This window comes from Homo sapiens, chromosome 10 (assembly GCF_000001405.40).
Source record: "Homo sapiens chromosome 10, GRCh38.p14 Primary Assembly".
In the NCBI taxonomy this organism is placed as follows: Eukaryota; Metazoa; Chordata; class Mammalia; order Primates; family Hominidae; genus Homo; species Homo sapiens.
This window is the reverse complement of record NC_000010.11, coordinates 18,025,113-18,049,402: the sequence shown is the minus strand read 5'-3', so window position 1 is coordinate 18,049,402 and position 24,290 is coordinate 18,025,113. Positions and strand designations below refer to the sequence as shown.

The window sequence follows — 24,290 nt, the reverse complement described above, 5'->3', positions numbered from 1 at the left end:
GAACATTTTAGCATATAGTCTTCCAGAACATTTTCAATATGGATATATGTGTAATATATCATACTGTATATTCACAACACTGGAATTATATGCTTTGTTGGTAAATTGCTTTTTTACTCAATGGGTTGTGAATACTTTTTATAACTATAAATATTTGCTTACAATACAGGATTTTATTCTTCCAAGGATATTAGTAGGGATCCCTTGGAGACTTCTACAGGAAGGAAAGGGAGAGACCAAGAAATTAGAGCCCTGATTTCCATTCCTTGGCTTTTACCAAGGCAGTTTTAAGAGCATCTGTGCAGATTCCACACAAGTTTTTCTGTAATAAAAAGGTCTTATTGCTTAAAATATAAACCTATATATTGAAAGCTGCTGCCCTGCATGTAGATTTCTCCTCTGTAGTGTCATTCTCAAGAGCTGAAGGGCATTCTGTGTGAGGTTTACTTTTGAGGTTTACGTGACCCTATCATCCATCATTCAAGCTGCTTTCAGCTTGATTGTCACTTTTTTAGAAGCGTCATTTTGTTGTAGACATAGTTACGTGTCTTCTTGGTTTGTGTATCTACATAGCTAATAGCCGTGTTCTCTCTGTTGTGTCCAGTCTGTTGAGTTTGTTGAAGAAAATGAACCTAAAGAGAGAGTGACCCTTAGTGACACTTTCTAGTTTGCAGTCCTTAACCTAGGTTTTAAAAATATAATTCTTCAAATATTTATGCCGAGGAGAATCCCAAGGGCTTTGATGTTTGGGAATATTCCTCCTTTAGAAAGTTCATTAGTTTCCCAGCCGGGCGTGGGGGCTCATTTCTGTAATCCCAGCACTTTGGGAGGCCGAGGCTGGCATATTACCTGAGGTCAGGTGTTCAAGACCAGCCTGGCCAACATGATGAAACCCTGTCTCTACTAAAAATACAAAAATTAGCCAGTGTGGTGGCGGACGCCTGTAGTCCCAGCTATTCAGGAGGCTGAGGCAGGAGAATTGTTTGAATCCAGGAGGTGGAGGTTGAAGTGAGCCGAGATCATACCACTGCACTCCAGCCTGGGTGACAGAGCGAGACTGTCTCAAAAAAGAAAAAAGAAAAAGAAAAAAAGAAAGTTCATTAATTTCCTAAGGCTGCTGTACAACCAGTAACCACAAACTGGTAACTTCAAACAGCAGAAATGTATTCTCACAATTCTTGAGGCTTAACATCCAAAATCCAGGTCTCATCAGGGCCAGGCTTCCTCTGCAGGCGCTAGGGAAGGATCCTTCCTTGCCTCTTCCTAGCTTCTGGTGGTTACTGGCAATCTCTGGCATTCCTTGGCTTATACCTGCATCATCCAGTCCTCTGCCTCTGTCCTCCGTTGGCCATCTTCCCTGTGTGTGTGTCCCCTCCTCTTCTTACAAGGACACCAGTCATATTGGATTTAGGGTCCACCTAAAACCAATACAATCTCATCCTACCTTAACTAATTATATCTGCAGAGGCCTTATTTCCAAATAAGTCTACATTCTGAGGTTCCAGCTGGACATGAATTTTGGGGAAATACTATTCAACCTACTGTACTAATGGCTTCTACAAGAATAACAGAACCTGCCATAAGCTGTGTGCTATTTGATGTGCAGTGGATGAACCACCCCTTCCACTGGGGAGAGAGTCCTTACTTCAGGATTGAATGGCCTGTATTCAGTGAGATCTTAAAGGATCATCTAGTCTAATCTCCCATTTTTCAGAGGAGGAAGTGTAAGCCTGAAAACTCACAGACAGTTGCTGCTAGATCCAGAGCTAGCACCTCTGATCACTTTCTTTACCATCCCATAAATCAACAATTAGAAAACCCAGAAGGCAACGCAAAAACTTACTGCATAGGTTGCAAGTCCCGATAGGGGGATATTAACATGAACTGGAATAGTAAAAGTAACCTCAGATAACTAAGACCTTATAGGTGAGAAGGCTTGATTGAGCAGGACCAGGGAAGACTGTAAAGATTATTAAGATTGCTGGATTAGAATTCAGGGATCTAGAATTTAGTCTTAGGTAAACTCATTTCCAGAGATAAGAGCTTAGGTAGTAATTCAGACTCGTTGAACCTCAGTTTCTCTATGCAGAGGGGGTGCGAGGTAGAGATTAGTATCACAGACTCTGGAGCTTACTTCAGCTCTGTAAACTTGAGCAAGTTAATTGACCTTTCTGGGCCTCAATTTCTTCGTCTGTAGAATGGAATTGTAAACCGCATTACACCTATAATCACAGGGTTCTTGGAATTAAATGACTCTCATAAAGCACTATTAGCAGTATCTGGTATATAATAAGTGCTATAAAAATACTTGCTATTACATCACCATTATAAATCAAAGAGTTGGATTAAATCTCTGAAGCTGGTTCCAGGGCTAGCACTATGTGATACTGTGGGCTGTCTATGATCACTCTGCATACCCTGAAATTTAATGGAAATGCTGAGACAGTGAGACCCATCTAGTCAGTAAAGAAGAAATCCCAGATAGTTTCCAAAATGTGTGCTGTCCCACTGGAGCACTGCTTAAACAAAACCAGGCCTCCAGTGAGCAGATGCCCTGTTTACCTTGATGGTGTTGGACTCTTTTCAGAGGTGGTTTGATTTCCTCAGCAGGTGCATTGGTAACAGGAGAAATTAGTTGAACTGCTTTTTGTCTTCCCTGAGTTGAAATCAAACTGTGACAATAACAATGACCTCAGACAGTTTCTTCTCTGTGAGTCTCCATTATTCAACCTTAGGAGTGTAACTGGAGTGGAACAAAATGGATTTCCACTTGTTACGAGATAAAGAAGAAGAGAGAGGGGCTCATGCTGCTTGTAAGCCTGGAAGGATGGGCAGAACGGGGCACATCAGAGGGGGCCCCCATGTCTCCAGCTCTGGAAGTTGAGTCAATATGAAAAAACATTCAGGACAACTTCAAAGGGCTGGTGGGAGCTGGTTTGGAGATCTTATTGAAGATTGCAGTTATATAAAAAGGCTTGATCTCCATTTTCCACCAAGAAAAAAAAAAGATCTCATTGACCAAAGGTACAGCACTGAGAGGTAAACTGTGATGAAAGAAGGGAAGACCGATGGTGATGATGATGATGTTAGTGATAACAAATTAACATTTATTGAGCCACTAGTATTTTCCAGGCACAGTGCTAAGTGCTTCATGAGCAGTATCCCATATTGACCTTACCACAATTCTGTGAGGGAGGGTCTCTTTTTAGCCCTATTTTACATAAGAAGAAACTGCCGTTCTAAGAAGTTACAAGGCTATTAGGCAGTGTAGCTGGGATTTGAACCAAAATTATAGTTTATAGCTTGAATTCTTAATGACTGCCTAGAACCCAACTGATTAGTGCCGTCTACCCAAGTGGTTAGTAGCCGCATGACCCAGCCCTTCCTTTCCAGTTTAGGTGGGGAAATGAAATTGTAAATGTGCAGAACCCAGAGAGGTGTGTCTCATAAGAAGAGGCACAGTCTCACCTCCAAATCTGAGTTCTGGGAAGCGGGGGAGGGATTTGTAGTGACCACAATTGATGGACACGTTTATTTAAGACTTCTGTCCTGTCCAGCATGAAGCAGTGGAACCAGCTTCCCAGGCTCTGCTCTCAGCACTACAGAAACACGGGCCGATTCCCCATCCCTAAAGATGGCCCTGTCTATGGATGATAGATGTTCACATAAGATTTCTGTGTGATATGCTCTTTGATTTTTCTCCAGAAGCATTTCTAGTTCAGGGAAAAAAATAACAACGACAAGTCAATCACCAAGTCGAAATACAGTGGAATGCTAAGTTTAAGCCTGGGAAACATAAATACCCGAATGTTATTGAGAAATCTGGTTTCAAGGAAAACACCATTCACCCCAAAGATCAGTGAGTAACACATAACTTAAATAGCTTAAAGCTATGACGTTATGGAGAGTCAAATTTAGACCCTGCGCATATTTAGAAAGCAAATAGTTGCCATCATCCTTTTATTCTTGCCACTCAGTTTTGAGGAATAGTGATGTTCTAGCAATTCTAAGTCTGCTTGTGGCTGGAGGTCCATTACAGGCTAGGGTTTGTTATCTGGAACCTGAACTCCTTGGAAGAACACAAAACCAGTGTTAAGGCAGAGGAGGGGAGAGATGGTGATCTAGAAAGCTGTCCCCAGGGTCCAAGGCAGCACACTGCTCTTCAAATGACTTCTGCAGATGACCACAGGTTTCCGCTTACAATAAAGGCACTTTGGTGATAGGCTTGCAAACACCCACTGACGATGTCCTCCTAAATCCTCTGACAGCTCACTTCCTTTAAGCCTCTCTGCATACTATTTCCAACCTCAGCAGGGGGTTAAACTTAACTTCCTCTAACTTGAAGGTGAGCAGCTCATACCAAGAATTTTAATTTAGCCAGCTCTAAATGACTCCAAACTTGAACTTGGAACAAAGTCGTCCATCAGAACTTTTCTAATTAAAATGGCATAAATTAAAGCTTAAGGTCAAAATCAGAACCCGGTCACAGAAACCAAAACACAGACAGTGCCAAGTATTTTGACCTCCACACCATGCTGACCTGTACAAAGAGATTTTTGTTCAGCTGCAGTTTATCCTCTTAAAAAAATGGCAAAGCTCTATGTATCAAATCTGCTTACCTTTTAGGGAAAATATGAATATGAAAAAAACTGCTGCATGGAGTCCTAATTCAATAATTCCTGGGATTGATCTGATGTCCCATGGCATGCAGACAAAGAAATGGGTGTTTCAGCCCAGGAGCTCGCATCTAGCATGTGGTTTGTAGACGTGTTAGCCTACTTACTTAAAAGCACATGACTTGACTTGGGCAACAGAGGTGTGCGCCTAAACTTTCTTGAAGCCAAGTCGGCCCAACATCTATCACACCAGTGGTACTGAGTGGTGCCCCATCCAGCAAAAGCAGCATCCCATGGAAGGAGTTCAAAATCAAGGTCACAGGCCTCACTCCAGACCTACAGAATCAGAAGAGAGGGATGGAGCCCAGCGATCTGTCTTTTTGTTTAGTTCTTGAGATAGGGTCTTGCTCTGTTGCCCGGGCTGGAGTGCAAAGGTACCACCATAGCTCACTGCAGCCTTGAACTCCTGGGCTCAAACGATCCTCCCACCTCAGCCTCCCTAGTAGCTAGGTCTACAGGCATGCACCACCACACTTGGCTAACTTTTTTTTTTTTTTTTGGTAGAGATGAGATCTATGCTATGTTGTCCGGGCTGGTTTCAAACTCCTGGTGGTCTCAAATGATCTTCCTGCCTTGGCCTCCAAAAGCACTGAGATTACAGGCATGAACCACCATGCTCGGCCAAGCTCTGTTTTTCATAGATAAATATTCTGGTTAATTCTTGTTTGTGCCAAAGTTTTAGAACTATTGCACTATCCAGTGATGATGCATGGCCTTTGCTTAAATTAAGCTCTAAAGACAACTGGAGAAAAAATCCACCTCATTTTGGAATCAAAGAAAGGTAGTTGAAAAAAAAATATAGTGTTTGGGTAGGGCATAGCAAAACAAACAAACAAACAACAACAACAAAACCTACTGGTGAGTAAGAGATAGGAGAGATGTTTTTGACTGAGCACCATGAGTCATTTTGGGAGTAAAATGGGTTTTTTCCCTTGTCAAGAAATAGCATTTAAAAAATAAGAAAAATATAAGGCATCTGTTTTCTAAGAAAACTGACTAAAGCCAGGGTTATTTTCTGTTTCAACACTTTCGCTAGGTTATCAGTAAATTGCATGTACATTTCATGAACTTACCTATTGAAATCCTGTTCAGGATTCTGTTTCCTCAGAAAGAAGATAAAATATATCTCACGTGTTAGTGAGATTATTCCCATAAATATTCTCTGTTAAATCTGTGAGAGTTTAGGCATTCATCTACTGCCTGACTCCAGTTTTGTTACTTTAAAAATTTTGAACTTCATCTTATGTTTCCAGCTCCCCTTGCCTGGAACAGATTTCATTTGACGACTTACATAGAAGAATGCTGACATGTTATCCTTTAGGTCTCCCAAAATGGCTTGTTCACAAGCGCTCTAGAGTCAGTGGGTGAACTATACATTGTTTTTTTAAGAGATGACTCAGAATCTGACATCCAGTAACAGAAGGTAATAAAAACCACCATATTAAAACTAGTCTTTATTACATTTGCTTGTCACTTAACTTGCTTATAGTTTATAATTGCACAGGGAAAAAAATTAACATCAAAAAGTTGCAGTTGATTTTACTCCAACAGGCATCTGTCCACTTTAAATTCTACAAACATTCTTTCTTAGGGAAAAAATCTATTTTTTAAAGTTTACTAAAATTCATGCAGAATTTACTAACTACTTTTTAAAAAGCAAGAGCTTCATCATGGTGTTGGAAACCAAAGACAAAATTTCAATTAAGGACAGTCTGATATTTATATGTTTCCAAAAATAAAACTGCATTATAAAATTAATAAGTTAATGAATTGAAAGAGACACACTTTGCCTAAGATAAAAAATTCTTAATTTAAAAATCATTATAGAGTGCAATGAAAGAAACAAAGTAAGACTATATAAATGCATTTTTGAAAGATGTTGAAGATCCTCACTTATATTTTAATATTTTGCTCATATATAGCCAAGAGCAGGAGAGAAAGCCAACCTAGGATCAATCCAAAGTTTTGCAGGAGAAACATCATCCAGGGTCGTTGTGTTTGAACATGAGTCATTTCAGGAAGCTAAAAAAAGAATAAAAAACCAGAATAAGATCCAGATATATTCAACTGCTGGGAAAAGCTTGGTGGGAAAACATGAGCGACTGTTATTCAGAACTTAATAACCTTTAAAATTCCCAAAACAGTTACAAAATGCTGAATACCTACTCTACCATGTCTTTGAAATGTAAGCTAAAAGTAAGCCATTTGATTGTGGTTATGAGGATCCCAGGATTGGCAAAGTCTTTTTTTTTTTTTTTTTTTTCTTTTGAGGCAGGGTCTTTGCCCTGTCACCCAGGCTGGAGTGCAATGGCTGCGATCACATTTCACAGCAACCTCCTGGGCTCCAGCAATCCTCTCACCTCAGCCTTCCAGGTGCGTGCCATTGCACCCAGCTAATTTTTGCATTTTTTTGTAGAGATGGGGTTTCCCTGTATTGCCCAGGCAGGTCTCAAGCTCCTGGGCTCAAGCAACCTGCATGTTGCGGCCTCCCAAAGTGCTGGGGCTTATAGGCGTGAGCCACTGCACCTGGCCTTTGGTAGAAGTCTTAAAATGACATAGTTACCAACCAAAAACAAACCCAACTCTTACTTTTCAGAAAATGTTTAAATGTGAAGTAAATAATGCATCAAAATTATTATTTTGGACTGTTCTATTAGGCTTATAGAACTACTATATGCACAGGTTGATGTAAGGCATATATACATATTATGGGAGGAGGGAGGAAGAAAAGGAGAGAGAGAGAGCGATGACTAAGATCCTCCTGATCTTTAGAACAGTAAGGACATTATCTCCTGTGGCTACATATATATATGTATACATATATACATATACATATATGTGTGTATATATATACATATACATATGTATGTACATATATATACGTATACATATGTATGTACATACATATACGTATACATATGTATATACATATAGACACATATGTATATACATATGTATACATATGTATACACATATATACATGTATATACATATATACACATATATACATATGTATATACATATATATACACATATATACATATGTATATACATATATATACACATATATACATATGTATATACATATATATACACATATATACATATGTATATACATATATATACACATATATATGGTGTGTGTATGTATGTGTGTGTGTATGTGTGCGTGTGTGTGTGTGTGTGTGTGTATATATATACATATATATATATATAAAGTTTTTTTTTTTTGAGACAGAGTCTCACTCTGTCACCCAGGCTGGAGTGCAGTGGTGGGATCTCAGCTTACTGCAATGTCTGCCTCCCGGGTTCAAGCAATTCTCCTGCCTCAGCCTCCTGAGTAGCTAGGACTACAGGCATGTGCTGCCACACTCGGCTAATTTTTGTATGTTTTGGTAAAGACAGAGTTTCACTGTGTTGACCAGGCTGTCCTGTGGCTATATTTTATTCTCAGAGAAACACATGGCAACTATTTCATGTTTGTGAAATGGCCTAACACCATTTAGAGGGAAGGGTTCACTCACGCATCTGTGTGAAGTGCCCCAAGGTGTATTTGTCTCAAATTATTTCAAAGCCCTCACCCTGAGAAGGTCAGAGCAAGCATACCTCTTTCATTACACAGTCATTTCCATTGGGACACAGGCTCGTGTCAACAAGGATTGGAGATTTAACTCAATCTTGCCATTTTGGGCCAGATCATCCTTCATTGTGAGACCCCTCTCCTGTCCATTAGAAGATGTTGTAGCAGTATCTATGGCTCCTACTAGATGTCAGCTGTGTCTCTGCCCACAATCATGGCAAGCAAAAATGCCTCCAGACACAGTCAAATTTTCTCTGGGGGATAAAAATCACCTCCAGTAGAGAACGACTCAGATTATTTTATCGATCAAATGAATGATCAAGGACTTTAGGTTTATGGCAATAGAAAATGGCTTGACACTTTTTTTTTTTTTTTTTGAGATGGAGTTTCACTCTTATCGCCTAGGCTGGAGTACAGTGGCATGATCTCGGCTCACTGCAACCTCTGCCTCCTGGGTTATGGCGATTCTCCTACCTCAGCCTCCCGAGTAGCTGGAACTATAGGCATCCACCACCATGCTTGGCTAATTTTGTATTTTTAGTAGAGACAGGGTTTCTTCATGTTGGCCAGGCTAGTCTTGAACTCCTGACCTCAGGTGATCCACCTGCCTTGGCCTCCTAAAGTGCTGGGATTACAGGCATGAGCCACCATGCCTGGCCAGGTTGACACATTTTTAAGTACATGGAGAGGAGCACCCTGAATGCTCTGTTTGAGATATTTCTTCATCTTAGGTAGTTATTTCAATGGCATGAGGGTGGTTTACTATGACCTGCCATCTCACATCCCGGCATGGAGCAATGGACTCAAAGACAAAGTAGGATCCAGAACTGCTCTCCTGGGTGGACCATTTTAAACAAATTACATGCTCTTTTGGTGTCTTTATGCCAGGTTTAAACATGTTATACTTTAGAAAAATCTTATCTGATTCATCAATTATAAATTCAAAATGCCATTTTGGAAAATCTATGGAATGTGGATAAAACAGTCTATATTTTCAATTTTGTAGTAAAGTGACTTAGCAAGAAGCAGCTGAAACATCTGATTTCATGTTTTATATATTACGTATATGTTTTAAATTACATATATTTAATGTTTGAACTATATGTAACTGTTGCAAGTTTCTCATATAGTTAACAATGGATTTATGACAAACTTTCCCCGTTTCCTCCTAAGTGGCGAATGAATATCTTTCATTTACTAAATGCCTTGATATTAGTTCAACATTCAGAGTGTTTTGGTTTCTAAATGCCTTGATATTAATTCAAAATCCACAGTGGACATGGCAGAATTCTAGATTAAGGCTTATATGTATAGGGAAGAAATAGTATTTGTTCTCAAAGAGCTTGCATTTGATGGTACTCTTGAGGGATTAACAAGGTACATACATGGGAATTTTCCAATACCTTGTTTTTCTTTTTTTTGATTCAGGGTCTCACTGTTGCCCAGGCTGGAGTGCAGTGATGTGATCATAGCTCACTGTAGCCGTGAACTCCTGGGCTCAAGCAATCCTCCCACTTCAGCCTCCTGGGTAGCTAAGACTGCAGGTGCATACTACCCTACCCAGCTAATTTTAAAATTCTTAGTAGAGACGAGGTCTTGCTATGTTGCCTAGGCTGATCACAAATGCCGGGGCTCAACTGATCTTCCTGCCTCAGCTTTCCAAAGTGTTGGAATTACAGGCATAAGCCACCATACTCAGCCCCAATCACTTTGATTCTCAATAGTTTTCAGTATTTTTTAATAGTTTTCTCCAAAGCCAGACAACATAGGCCACCACCTTCCTTTGTCCCAGTAAGCTGCATCTCAAACTGCATCTGTGAGACACAATCATACCATCTGTGGTCATTTACAGGCTCAAACCTTGATTACTCTAATTTCCAAATATGGAATAAGATCTTGTGTAGTTCCCTCTCCTCCTCCTCCTCCTCCTCATTTTTCAAACAAGATTATTAATTATCTTTTGTAAAACATGGCTGAATTAACAGCATATCCCATCTCTGTCCCTACTGCCACCTGGCTGTTCTTAGTCTTTGGTAAAGTACACAGTAGAAGTGTTTTCTGGAAAGGTTTTGTTTGCAAAGACTTATAAAGTATAGGTCATTTATTGAACCATCACGATTATTTTGAGTGGACTATTATGGAGAAAAATATTTTGGGCAAGATAGACGCATGGTAGTAAAAATGGTTCTGGTTCAAGAGATAGAATTTGAGATGACTTTTCAAATCATCAATATCTTCATGAACCTACATTTTGGAAAGCTCACTTTTGAATTTCCATCTTTGCCTCACACTTCCAGGAAGGGTCTTTGGCTGAGGAGAAGTAGACCCTAGATTTGGGTCGATCAAATCACCAAAATGTTTTAGGTACAAAAACACAGAGCTAGAATTAATATCTTGTAAATTATAGCAGAATTTCAAGCTGTTTCTGTTTTGACTAAATCCAAAACATGTCCCAGTTATTTTTATTTATTTATTTATTTATTTATTTATTTTTGAGACAGAGTTTCACTCTTGTGGCCCAGGCTGGAGTGCAGTGGCATGATCTCAGCTCACTGCAACCTCCCCACCTCCCAGGTTCAAGCAATTCTCCTGCCTCAGCCTCTGAAGTAGCTGGGATTACAGGCACACACCACCACACCTGGCATATTTTGTGTTTTTAGTAGAGACTGGGTTTCACCATGTTAGCCAGGCTGGTCTTGAACTCCTGACCTCAGGTAATCTGCCCACCTTGGCCTCCCAAAGTGCTGGGATTACAAAATTGTCCCAAATTTTTAAAACAATTGTCCAATCCATTATTTTTCTCACTAGCCTTAGTTTATAAACCTGCTGCTTGCTTGGAGGATTTAATACCTATTGAATTGAATGCATCTTTTATGAGAGTCAGTGACCCTACTCCCAGTGAGAAAATTAAGAATTCTTTATTCTTGTATATAAATGACGGCATTATCCACCAGAAAACACCATGAACATTTTCACAACTCCAGAGGCAACATTTACATGGAATACAATGTCTTCAGGAGTTGCAACAGGCTCCTGTATTTTTTTTTAATCGAAATAATGGACCCTATGATAACTTGCCATACAGTTAGCTGTGCTTTTTTTTTTTTTTTTTTTTTTTTTTTTTTTTTGAGATGGAGGCTCACTCTGTCACTAGGCTGGAGTGCATTGGTGTGATCTTGGCTCATGGCAATCTCCACCTCCCGGGTTCAAACAATTCCCCTGCCTCAGTCGCCCACGTAGCTGGGACTACAGGCACGCACCACCATGCCTGGCTAATTTTTTGTATTTTAGTAGAGATGGGGTTTCATGATGTTGGCCAAGATGGTCTCCATCTCCTGACGGTGATCCGCCCACCTTGGCCTCCCAAAGTGCTGGGATTACAGGTGTGAGCCCCTGCACCTGGCCTAGCTGTGCCTTCTAGCAGCACTTCTTTCCTGCCAGGTCTTTCAGGTTGTCCTGGCTACAAAGTCTTATGCAATGCTTATTTTATTTGCCTTTCATTTACATCTATTTATCACGTCCTTTCTTACATATATATTTCCCCCCTTTTACTTCTCATAATCCTGCAAGTGATAAAACTATTCACTCCTTTCAGTTTTGAAGAAACATTAGCTCAGAGAGGATAACAGCTCACCCACAGTCACATTGTTGTGATGTCAGAAAGAGGACAAGAAACCAGGTCACCTCCTAACTGTAGTGAACATACAAAGAACTGCAAAGATCAATTCTCTATCTGAGATTCACTGTTTCTATCTGAAATTCATCCTTGTCTATTATGACCAAGGGCGAATTGGTCTAATTAGAAAAAAATGGAAAATATCAATGGTAGAAATGTCCTATTAAGCATAAAAATGTCACTGCACTTCATGAAAATTTGATAAAATACATGATGCAATCAATAATGAATTATCAATAATCAACACTTAATAAATCAATAAACAATAACAGCAAACACACCAACAGAAAATCAGGCAAAAGATACCAAACAGGTAATTCAAGAAGAGGAAAATCAAATGGTCCAAAAAATTTTGGAAAGAGGTATAATCTATAGCAATTTTTAGGCTGGGCATGGTGGCTCACACCTGTAATCCCAGCACTTTGGGAGGCCTAGGCTGGCAGATCACTTGAGGTCAAGAGTTCAAGACCAGCCTGGCCAATATGGTGAAACGCAGACTCTATTAAAAACACAAAAATTAGCCAGGCATGGTGGCGGGTGCCTGTCATCCCAGCTACTTGAAAGGCTGAGGCAAGAGAATCGTTTAAACCTGGGAGGCGGAGGTTGCAGTGAGTCGAGACTGTGCCACTGCACCGCAGGCTAGGCGACAAGAGTGAGATTCCATTAAAAAAAAAAATATATATATATATATATATATATATATATATATATATATATATATATAATTTTTAAAATGCTAACTGCAAGATGCCAATGATATAGTTATTAGGCTGCCTTTGTTGTAAAAGATATCACGGGGGAGGAGCCAAGATGGCCGAATAGGAACAGCTCCGGTCTACAGCTCCCAGCGTGAGCGACGCAGAAGACGGGTGATTTCTGCATTTCCACCTGAGGTACTGGGTTCATCTCACTAGGGAGTGCCGGACAGTGGGCGCAGGCCAGTGGGTGCGCGCACCGTGCGTGAGCCGAAGCAGGGCGAGGCATTGCCTCATCTGGGAAGCGCAAGGGGTCAGGGAGTTCCCTTTCCTAGTCAAAGAAAGGGGTGACGGACGCACCTGGAAAATCGGGTCACTCCCACCCGAATACTGCGCTTTTCAGACCGGCTTAAAAAAACGGCGCACCACGAGATTATATCCCACACCTGGCTCGGAGGGTCCTACGCCCACGGAGTCTCACTGATTACTGGCACAGCAGTCTGAGATCAAACTGCAAGGCGGCAGTGAGGCTGGGGGAGGGGCGCCCGCCATTGCCCAGGCTTGCTTAGGTAAACAAAGCAGCCCTGAAGCTGGAACTGGGTGGAACCCACCACAGCTCAAGGAGGCCTGCCTGCCACTGCAGGCTCCACCTCTGGGGGCAGGGCACAGACAAACAAAAAGACAGCAGTAACCTCTGCAGACTTAAATGTCCCTGCCTGACAGCTTTGAAGAGAGCAGTGGTTCTCCCAGCACGCAGCTGGAGATCTGAGAACCGGCAGACTGCCTCCTCAAGTGGGTCCCTGACCCCTGACCCCCGAGCAGCCTAACTGGGAGGCACCCCCCAGCAGGGGCACACTGACACCTCACACGGCAGGGTATTCCAACAGACCTGCAGCTGAGGGTCCTGTCTGTTAGACGGAAAACTAAAAAACAGAAAGGACATCCACACCGAAAACCCATCTGTACATCACCATCATCAAAGACCAAAAGTAGATAAAACCACAAAGATGGGGAAAAAACAGAACAGAAAAACTGGAAACTCTAAAACGCAGAGCATCTCTCCTCCTCCAGCGGAACGCAGTTCCTCACCAGCAACGGAACAAAGCTGGATGGAGAATGACTTTGACGAGCTGAGAGAAGAAGGCTTCAGATGATCAAATTACTCTGAGCTATGGGAGGACATTCAAAGCAAAGGCAAAGAAGTTGAAAACTTTGAAAAAAATTTAGAAGAATGTAAAACTAGAATAACCAATACAGAGAAGTGCTTAAAGGAGCTGATGGAGCTGAAAACCAAGGCTCGAGAACTACGTGAAGAATGCAGAAGCCTCAGGAGCCAATGCGATCAACTGGAAGAAAGGGTATCAGCGATGGAAGATGAAATGAATGAAATGAAGCGAGAAGGGAAGTTTAGAGAAAAAAGAATAAAAAGAAATGAGCAAAGCCTCCAAGAAATATGGGACTATGTGAAAAGACCAAATCTATGTCTGATTGGTGTACCTGAAAGTGATGGGGAGAATGGAACCAAGTTGGAAAACACTCTGCAGGATATTATCCAGGAGAACTTCCCCAATCTAGCAAGGCAGGCCAACATTCAGATTCAGGAAACACAGAGAACGCCACAAAGATACTCCTCGAGAAGAGCAACTCCAAGACACATAATTGTCAGATTCACCAAAGTTGAAATGAAGGAAAAAATGTTAAGGGCAGCCAGAGAGAAAGGTCGGGTTACCCTCAAAGGGAAGCCCATCAGACTAACAGCGGATCTCTCGGCAGAAACCCTACAAGCCAGAAGAGAGTGGGGGCCAATATTCAACATTCTTAAAGACAAGAATTTTCAATCCAGAATTTCATATCCAGCCAAATTAAGCTTCATAAGTGAAGGAGAAATAAAATACTTTACAGACAAGCAAATGCTGAGAGATTTTGTCACCACCAGGCCTGCCCTAAAAGAGCTCCTGAAGGAAGCGCTAAACATGGAAAGGAACAACCGGTACCAGCCGCTGCAAAATCATGCCAAAATGTAAAGACCATCGAGACTAGGAAGAAACTGCATCAACTGACAAGCAAAATCACCAGCTAACATCATAATGACAGGATCAAATTCACACATAACAATATTAACTTTAAATGTAAATGGACTAAATTCTCCAATTAAAAGACACAGACTGGCAAATTGGATAAAGAGTCAAGACCCATCAGTGTGCTGTATTCAGGAAACCCATCTCATGTGCAGAGACACACATAGGCTCAAAATAAAAGGATGGAGGAAGATCTACCAAGCTAATGGAAAACAAAAAAAGGCAGGGGTTGCAATCCTAGTCTCTGATAAAACAGACTTTAAACCAGCAAAGATCAAAAGAGACAAGGCCATTACATAATGGTAAAGAGATCAATTAAACAAGAAGAGCTAACTATCCTAAATATATATGCACCCAATACAGGAGCACCCAGATTCATAAAGCAAGTCCTGAGTGACCTACAAAGAGACTTAGACTCCCACACATTAATAATGGGAGACTTTAACACCCCACTGTCAACATTAGACAGATCAACGAGACAGAAAGTCAACAAGGATACCCAGGAATTGAACTCAGCTCTGCACCAAGTGGACCTAATAGACATCTACAGAACCCTCCACCACAAATCAACAGAATATACATTTTTTTCAGCACCACACCACACCTATTCCAAAATTGACCACATACTTGGAAGTAAAGCTCTCCTCAGCAAATGTAAAAGAACAGAAATTATAACAAACTATCTCTCAGACCACAGTGCAATCAAACTAGAACTCAGGATTAAGAATCTCACTCAAAGCCACTCAACTACATGGAAACTGAACAACCTGCTCCTGAATGACTACTGGGTACATAACGAAATGAAGGCAGAATTAAAGATGTTCTTTGAAACCAATGAGAGCAAAGACACAACATACCAGAATCTCTGGGACGCATTCAAAGCAGTGTGTAGAGGGAAATTTATAGCACTAAATGCCCACAAGAGAAAGCAGGAAAGATCCAAAATTGACACCCTAACATCACAATTAAAAGAACTAGAAAAGCAAGAGCAAACACATTCAAAAGCTAGCAGAAGGCAAGAAATAACTAAAATCAGAGCAGAACTGAAGGAAATAGAGACACAAAAAACGCTTCAAAAAATCAATGAATCCAGGAGCTGGTTTTTTGAAAGGATCAACAAAATTGATAGACCGCTAGCAAGACTAATAAAGAAAAAAAGAGAGAAGAATCAAATAGACACAATAAAAAATGATAAAGGGGATATCACCACCGATCCCACAGAAATACAAACTACCGTCAGAGGATACTACAAACACCTCTACGCAAATAAACTAGAAAATCTAGAAGAAATGGATAAATTCCTCGACACATACACCCTCCCAAGACTAAACCAGGAAGAAGTTGAATCTCTGAATAGACCAATAACAGGAGCTGAAATTGTGGCAATAATCAATAGTTTACCAACCAAAAAGAGTCCAGGACCAGATGGATTCACAGCCAAATTCTACCAGAGGTACAAGGAGGAACTGGTACCATTCCTTCTGAAACTATTCCAATCAATAGAAAAAGAGGGAATCCTCCCTAACTCATTTTATGAGGCCAGCATCATTCTGATACCAAAGCCGGGCAGAGACACAACCAAAAAAGAGAATTTTAGACCAATATCCTTGATGAACATTGATGCAAAAATCCTCAATAAAATACTGGCAAACCGAATCCGGCAGCACATCCAAAAGCTTATCCACCATGATCAAGTCGGCTTCATCCCTGGGATGCAAGGCTGGTTCAATATACGCAAATCAATTAATGTAATCCAGCATATAAACAGAGCCAAAGACAAAAACCACATGATTATCTCAATAGATGCAGAAAAAGCCTTTGACAAAATTCAACAACCCTTCATGCTAAAAACTCTCAATAAATTAGGTATTGATGGGACGTATTTCAAAATAATAAGAGCTATCTATGACAAAGCCACAGCCAATATCATATTGAATGGGCAAAAACTGGAAGCATTCCCTTTGAAAACTGGCACAAGACAGGGATGCCCTCCCTCACCACTCCTATTCAACATAGTGTTGGAAGTTCTGGCCAGGGCAATTAGGCAGGAGAAGGAAATAAAGGGTATTCAATTAGGAAAGGAGGAAGTCAAATTGTCCCTGTTTGCAGATGACATGATTGTATATCTAGAAAACCCCATTGTCTCAGCCCAAAATCTCCTTAAGCTGATAAGCAACTTCAGCAAAGTCTCAGGATACAAAATCAATGTACAAAAATCACAAGCATTCTTATACACCAACAACAGACAAACACAGAGCCAAATCATGAGTGAACTTCCATTCACAATTGCTTCAAAGAGAATAAAATACCTAGGAATCCAACTTACAAGGGATGTGAAGGACCTCTTCAAGGAGAACTACAAACCACTGCTCAAGGAAATAAAAGAGGATACAAACAAATGGAAGAACATTCCATGCTCATGGGTAGGAAGAATCAATATCGTGAAAATGGCCATACTGCCCAAGGTTATTTACAGATTCAATGCCATCCCCATCAAGCTACCAATGACTTTCTTCACAGAATTGGAAAAAACTACTTTAAAGTTCATATGGAACCAAAAAAGAGCCCGCGTCGCCAAGTCAATCCTAAGCCAAAAGAACAAAGCTGGAGGCATCACACTACCTGACTTCAAACTATACTACAAGGCTACAGTAACCAAAACAGCATGGTACTGGTACCAAAACAGAGATATAGATCAATGGAACAGAACAGAGCCCTCAGAAATAATGCCGCATACCTACAACTATCTGATCTTTGACAAACCTGAGAAAAACAAGCAATGGGGAAAGGATTCCCTATTTAATAAATGGTGCTGGGAAAACTGGCTAGCCATATGTAGGAAGCTGAAACTGGATCCCTTCCTTACACCTTATACAAAAATCAATTCAAGATGGATTAAAGATTTAAACGTTAGACCTAAAACCATAAAAACCCTAGAAGAAAACCTAGGCATTACCATTCAGGACATAGGCATGGGCAAGGACTTCATGTCCAAAACACCAAAAGCAGTGGCAACAAAAGACAAAATTGACAAATGGGATCTAATTAAACTAAAGAGCTTCTGCACAGCAAAAGAAACTACCATCAGAGTGAACAGGCAACCTACAAAATGGGAGAAAATTTTCGCAACCTACTCATCTGACAAAGGGCTAATATCCAGAATCTATAATGAACTCAAACAAATTTACAAGAAAAAAACAAACAACCCCATCAAAAAGTGGGCGAAGGACATGAACAGACACTTCTCAAAAGAAGACATTTATGCAGCCAAAAAACACATGAAAAAATGCTCATCATCACTGGCCATCAGAGAAATGCAAATCAAAACCACTATGAGATACCATCTCACACCAGTTAGAATGGCAATCATTAAACAGTCAGGAAACAACAGGTGCTGGAGAGGATGTGGAGAAATAGGAACAATTTTACACTGTTGGTGGGACTGTAAACTAGTTCAACCATTGTGGAAGTCAGTGTGGCGAGTCCTCAGGGATCTAGAACTAGAAATACCATTTGACCCAGCCATCCCATTACTGGGTATATACCCAAATGACTATAAATCATGCTGCTATAAAGACACATGCACACGTATGTTTATTGCGGCATTATTCACAATAGCAAAGACTTGGAACCAACCCAAATGTCCAACAATGACAGACTGGATTAAGAAAATGTGGCACATATACACCATGGAATACTATGCAGCCATAAAAAATGGTGAGTTCATGTCCTTTGTAGGGACGTGGATGAAATTGGAAATCATCATTCTCAGTAAACTATCGCAAGAACAAAAAACCAAACACCGCATATTCTCACTCATAGGTGGGAATTGAACAATGAGATCACATGGACACAGGAAGGGGAATATCACACTCTGGGGACTGTGGTGGGGTGGGGGGAGGGGGGAGGGGGAGGGATAGCATTGGGAGATATACCTAATGCTAGATGACGAGTTAGTGGGTGCAGCACACCAGCATGGCACATGTATACATATGTAACTAACCTGCACAATGTGCACATGTACCCTAAAACTTAAAGTATAATAAAAATAAATAAATAAATAAATAAATAAATACATAAATAAATAAAATAAAATAAAAATATATCACAGTACTGGTTCTATGTTTTCAAGGCAGACAATATGTGTTTGAAAAGACTTGGCCGGGCACGGTGGCTCACGCCTGTAATCCCAGCACTTTGGGAGGCCGAGGCAGGCGGATCACGAGGTCAGGAGATTGAGACTATCCTGGCTAACATGGTGAAACCCCGTCTCTACTAAAAAAATACAAAAAATTGGCTGGGTGTGGTGGTGGGCCCATGTGGTCCCAGCTACTCGGGAAGCTGAGGCAGGAGAATGGCATGAACCTGGGAGGCGCCACTGTGCTCCAGCCTGGGCGACAGAGAGAGACTCCATCTCAAAAAAAAAAAAGAAAGAAAAGACTAAGTTTGCAAGCTCATAGATATGGGCAAACAGTGCAAATCAACATTTCAAAAAAAGTTCAAGGAGATTCTCATCTGAAATAAAAGTTTCCATTTCAATTTCGGTGGCCTATGTGAACTTTCCATGTTCACATGTAAATCAATTCGGTGAGAAACCCAGCTAAACCTGCTTTTCTGACAATACTTGGCTCTTTTTAGTATGATTATGGATGAACATATGAACCATAGTATCTCTTGGATACCAAATACCAGAGAGTCCTACAGAAAGTCTTTCCAACAGCTACAAATACGAAATGCCAAAACTCAAACCCTATCTAATTATAGCTTTCCACCTTCTCTTAATCTCCATATATGTATATATTTTTTCCATCATTTTAGCCAGTCAATTTTGAAGGAAAATAAAGGTTCATATGAATTAATTTTCAAGAGTATTTATTTTATTTTTTTGTTAGAAATTTAAAATTTTTGGCAGGAGTTTAAATGCCACCATTTCCCCCTCTGAATTTCAAAAAGGAAAGAAAAATCCCTTCTTCCTCCAGGGCAGTTAAGTCCTGTTATTGAGCAATTTTACGGATCTTGATTTATACTCTAAGAGTAGAGGAGGGGAAATGATGAACAGAGTATATTAACAATGACATAAAGGTACAGAGAAAAAGAAGGACATTTTAGCAGAAGTGTCTTGCCCAGAGGTAGTGCTAAGAGAAATGTTCTTTAGATTTCTGCCAGAAACTTGGAAACCTTGAAGTAGAGAAGTAACTTCCTTTTTTACCACTATGTTTCACAAGTTGTCCAACCTAAATCAGTAGGTGCAAAGAGTTGTTAGTCAAGAAGTTGTAATTTTCTGGAAATAAAAAATCTTTAGCTAAAGTGCATCCCTTTGGCCTGCCGTTGTTGAGTTCTTTTTTCAAGTGTGAATCATGGCACAGGTAAGAAATTCCTTAAAATGCAGCAGAGTCCACAAACTACGACTTATCCACAGAGAATGGTCCTCGCAAGTTCTGTTACCTAATTGAAAACTGCTTAGGATGGCTAACTGCTAAGTAGCATTTCTGAACATTTTAGAAAGTGACATTAAGAAAATGTTTTGGGCTGGGCACGGTGGCTCACGCCTGTAATCCCAGCACTTTGGGAGGCCGAGGTGGGCGGATCACGAGTTCAGGAGATTGAGACCATCCTGGCTAACATGGTGAAACTCCACCTCTACTAAAAAACAAAAATTAAAAAAAAAAAAAAGTTTTGGTGGGGCGTGGTGGCTCACGCCTGTAATCCCAGCACTTTGGGAGGCTGAGGCGGGTGGATCACCTGAGGTCAGGAGTTCAAGACCAGCCTGACCAGTATGGTGAAACCTCGTCTCTATTAAAAACACAAAAATTAGCCGAGTGTGGTGGCAGGTGCCTATAATCCTAGCTACTCGGGAGGCTGAGGCTGGAGGGTTGCTTGAACCTGGGAGGCAGAGGTTGCAGTGAGCCAAGATCACACCACTGCACTCCAGCCTAGGCGATAGAGTGAGATTCCATCTCAAAAAAAAAGAAAAGAAAAGAAAATGTTTTAAACTTGAGTCAATCCCTATAACCTCATTCCTAGTCAAGTCGAAGCTTTAAAATAAAATACTCATGAAGGAAATTAGGAGAACCATCAGGAAAGAAAGTAGACAAATACCAGCATCTGGTCCTATGTGATAACTGTATACTAGGGAGGACCTGTCACAAAGAAGGATGATCCACAAAACATCCTCTGGAACTCGTATTTTGTCCCTCTTTCTTGTACATCTGAGTTTCAGACTCTCATGACAAGCAAAGCATTTACTGTCCACTTCCATCTGTAACCTGAAACTGGTTTCCTGTTGGCATCACTAAAGACCCATTATCAAATATTTCAACATTTACCTTTATTCATGATTCATAAATATACACACTGAAGAAGAAAGATCAGCCTCCAATGCTTCCAAGATAAAGATGTCAAAGAGCTTTCACTGATAAAAATTTGCAATTCAAATATAGAAACAATATTCATTTACTGATGACATTTAGAGACGTCTCCTATGAAGGTAAGGTTGTACTTTAAGTATTTTTCTCTCTCAGGAATGCATAGCTTTTGGCATTATGAATGCTTAGAAGTGATTTGCTTCTCCATTCATAAAGTTCACTTAACTGATGTACAACATCTGTTTCCAAGAGGGATCCTAAAAGTCACTGTGCACACGGAGGCAGGTATACATTTGCATTTGATAAGCAGAACCATGTTTGCTTCTAAGAAATGTGATAAAGAAGAAAACTCAGAAATTTATCTTGGGGGGCATCCTAATTATGTTTAATTTCTAGAGGAACACACATTCTGTGGGAGTCTCTAACTCCAGCCCATTTGTAAATGGCTTAGTTTGTCCTTGCAGAAGGCAGGCATCTAACAACAAAATGGAACATGATGGTGCAAGTCACCATTTGGCTTACAAATGAGCAATTGCCATTCTGTCCTAACAAGTAAAGCTGATCAACTGAAAAACCAACAACTCTCTTTAGATGCATCAGAGAAAGGTATACACTGTCTCAGACATTGGAGAGACAGCAGGTAGACTCAGACAATCACAACTTACCAGAGCAAAAGCCCAGTAGCAGAAACCTCTGCTAGAACCAGTCAGTGGAAGGTTAAGAAAATCTGACTGCAATGAATGAATTGCTGAAAGCTCAGCCTGGACAACTCTGAGTTTAAAATTCCGGAAGACCCAATCTTAAAAGGCCCCCAGATTTTGTGAGTTTTACCTCCAGGAGCTCCACGGGTTCTCACAGTGAACACTGGAGAAAAATCTTCTCATACTTCTGGTAGGAGGAGAGGGAAAATAATCATTTTGAAATATACCAGAGCATTCTGCTCTTAACAAGATCTTCCCTCAGGGGAAACTGGTTAACCAGAACCTAACCTATTGGGGTTTTATCAAAGCCTAATCCACCTGGGGAAGGAAAATACCCAATTTCAGCTCTTTCTAGCCATGCTGTCTTACTTGAGGGAAGGGATAATGAGAAACACTGATGAAGTTCATAGTCCAAGGGCACAAGCTCACTGAAAGACTGAGATCTACCAAAGGACTGTAGAGCCTTCCCTTTCCCCTATGTATTCCTTCTTACCACATTACTAATGGCCTATTTAGCACAATTCTGTTCACTCAGTACAACATGTTCACCTTTCAAATTACAAGACATATTAAAAGGCAAAAGATGGTTTAAAGAAACTGAACAACCATCAGAATCAAAATCAGATGTAATAGAAATGTTGAAATGATTGGATCAGGAGTTTTAAAACATTATGATTAATATGTTAAGGAACTTAATAAAAAAAGACAACATTCAAAACAGAAGGAAAATGTAAGCAGAAAAATGGAAATTATAAGAAAAATAAAAAATAAATGCTAGAGATTAAAAACACTGTCACAGAAATGAAGAATGTCTTTGATGAGCTAATTAGTAGATTAGACATGGCTAAAGAGAGAATCTTTGAGCTTGAGGATTTTACAAAACAAACTTGAAAAACAGAAAAGTAGAGAAAAAAGGACTGAAAAAAGAAAACTCTAAAGAGAATATCCAAGAACTATGGGACAACTACAAAAGGCATAACATATTAGAAAGAGGAGAAAGAGACAAAACACCAGAAGGAATATTTGAAACAATACTGAGAATTTCTCCAAATTAATGTCAAACACTAAATTATAGGTATAGGAAGCTCAAAGAACATCAAGCAAGAGATATGCTTTAAAAAACCCTACGTCTATGCATATCATCTTTAAACTTCAGAAAATGAAAGAAACCAGATGAAAAAAATATCTCACCTTTAAAGAAGCAAAGATGAGAAGTATCTGACTTCTTAGAAACCATGCAAGCAAGAAGGGGGTGAACTAAAATATTTAAAGTGTTAAGAGAAAAAATCCACCCACCGAAAATCCTGCACCCTACTAAATTATATTTCAAAAGTGAAGGAGAAATATAGACTCTCTCAGAAAACAAAAATAGAGGGAATTTGTTTGTTGCCAGTAGCCATGCCTTCTGAGAAATGTTAAAAATTCTTCAGAGACAAGGGAAAGGATACTGGTCAAAAACTTTGGTCTACATAAAAAAGAAGAGCACTTGAGAACGAATAAGGGAAGGTAAATAAAAACCTTTATTTTTCTTATTCTGAGTTGATCTAACAGGTTACAGTTGTTAATAATTACAATATTGGATTCAATTATGTATGCTCATGTATAAGTGAAATGAATGAATATGTGATACAAGAGACAGGAGGGAAGAATTAGAAATATTTTATACAAGGTATTGGCACTACTTGTGAAGTAGTATATTATTTGAAAATAGACTTGGATTAGTTGTAAATCTACAGTGCAACTCTAGCACAACCACTAAAATAAATTTTAAAAGCAGCATGATTTATATGCTAAAAATAAGAGAACCATGGTGGAAGTCAGTGTGGTGATTCCTCAGGGAGCTAGAACTAGAAATACAATTTGACCCTGCAATCCCATTACTGGGTATAATACCCAAAGGATTATAAATCATTCTGCTATAAAGACACATGCACACGTATGTTTACTGCAACACTATTCACAAGAGCAAAGACTTGGAACCAACCCAAATGTCCAACAATGATAGACTGGATTAAGAAAATGTGGCACATATACACCATGGAATACTATGCAGCCATAAAAATTGATGAGTTCATGTCCTTTGTAGGGACATGGATGAAGCTGGAAACCATCATTCTCAGCAAACTATCGCAAGGACAAAAAACCAAACACCGCATGTTCTCACTCGTAGGTGGGAATTGAACAATGAGAACACATGGACACAGGAAGGGGAACATCACACACCGGGGCCTGTTGTGAGGTGGGGGGAGGGAGGAGGGATAGCATTTGGAGATACACCTAATGTTAAATGACGAGTTACTGGGTGCAGCACACCAACATGGCACATGTGTACATGTGTAACTAACCTGCATGTTGTGCACATGTACCCTAAAACTTAAAGTATAATAAAAAAAAATAAAAATAAAAAGAGAAAACAGAACCATGTAAAATGCTTCATTAGAAACCAAAAGGCAAAAAAAATGTGAAAGACAAAAGAGAGCAACAGAGAACAAAAGTAATGAATAAGAAACAGTAACAAA

At 40.0% G+C, this 24,290-nt stretch overlaps 1 protein-coding gene across 4 annotated transcripts in view, besides 2 other annotated features; it reads right to left on the bottom strand.

Moving 5' to 3' along the window:
- Positions 1-6,117: 6,117 nt before the first annotated feature.
- SLC39A12 (solute carrier family 39 member 12) overlaps positions 6,118-24,290 on the bottom strand; it is a 91,368-nt gene continuing 73,195 nt past the window's right edge. For all 4 annotated transcript variants that reach the window (NM_001145195.2, NM_001282733.2, NM_152725.4 and 1 more), the window contains one exon: positions 6,118-6,698. In NM_001145195.2, coding sequence (NP_001138667.1) covers positions 6,570-6,698 — 129 coding nt within the window. In that variant the 3' untranslated portion in view covers positions 6,118-6,569. The remainder of the gene's footprint in view (positions 6,699-24,290) is intronic.
- Positions 12,414-13,002: an enhancer, noted in NCBI's record as "H3K27ac-H3K4me1 hESC enhancer chr10:18325330-18325918 (GRCh37/hg19 assembly coordinates)". NCBI's record gives its function as "activates a minimal SCP1, AML or CMV promoter by ChIP-STARR-seq in primed H9 embryonic stem cells {active_cell/tissue: H9 hESC(primed)}" and the evidence as "EXISTENCE:reporter gene assay evidence [ECO:0000049][PMID:30033119]".
- Positions 13,003-13,592: an enhancer, noted in NCBI's record as "H3K27ac-H3K4me1 hESC enhancer chr10:18324740-18325329 (GRCh37/hg19 assembly coordinates)". NCBI's record gives its function as "activates a minimal SCP1, AML or CMV promoter by ChIP-STARR-seq in primed H9 embryonic stem cells {active_cell/tissue: H9 hESC(primed)}" and the evidence as "EXISTENCE:reporter gene assay evidence [ECO:0000049][PMID:30033119]".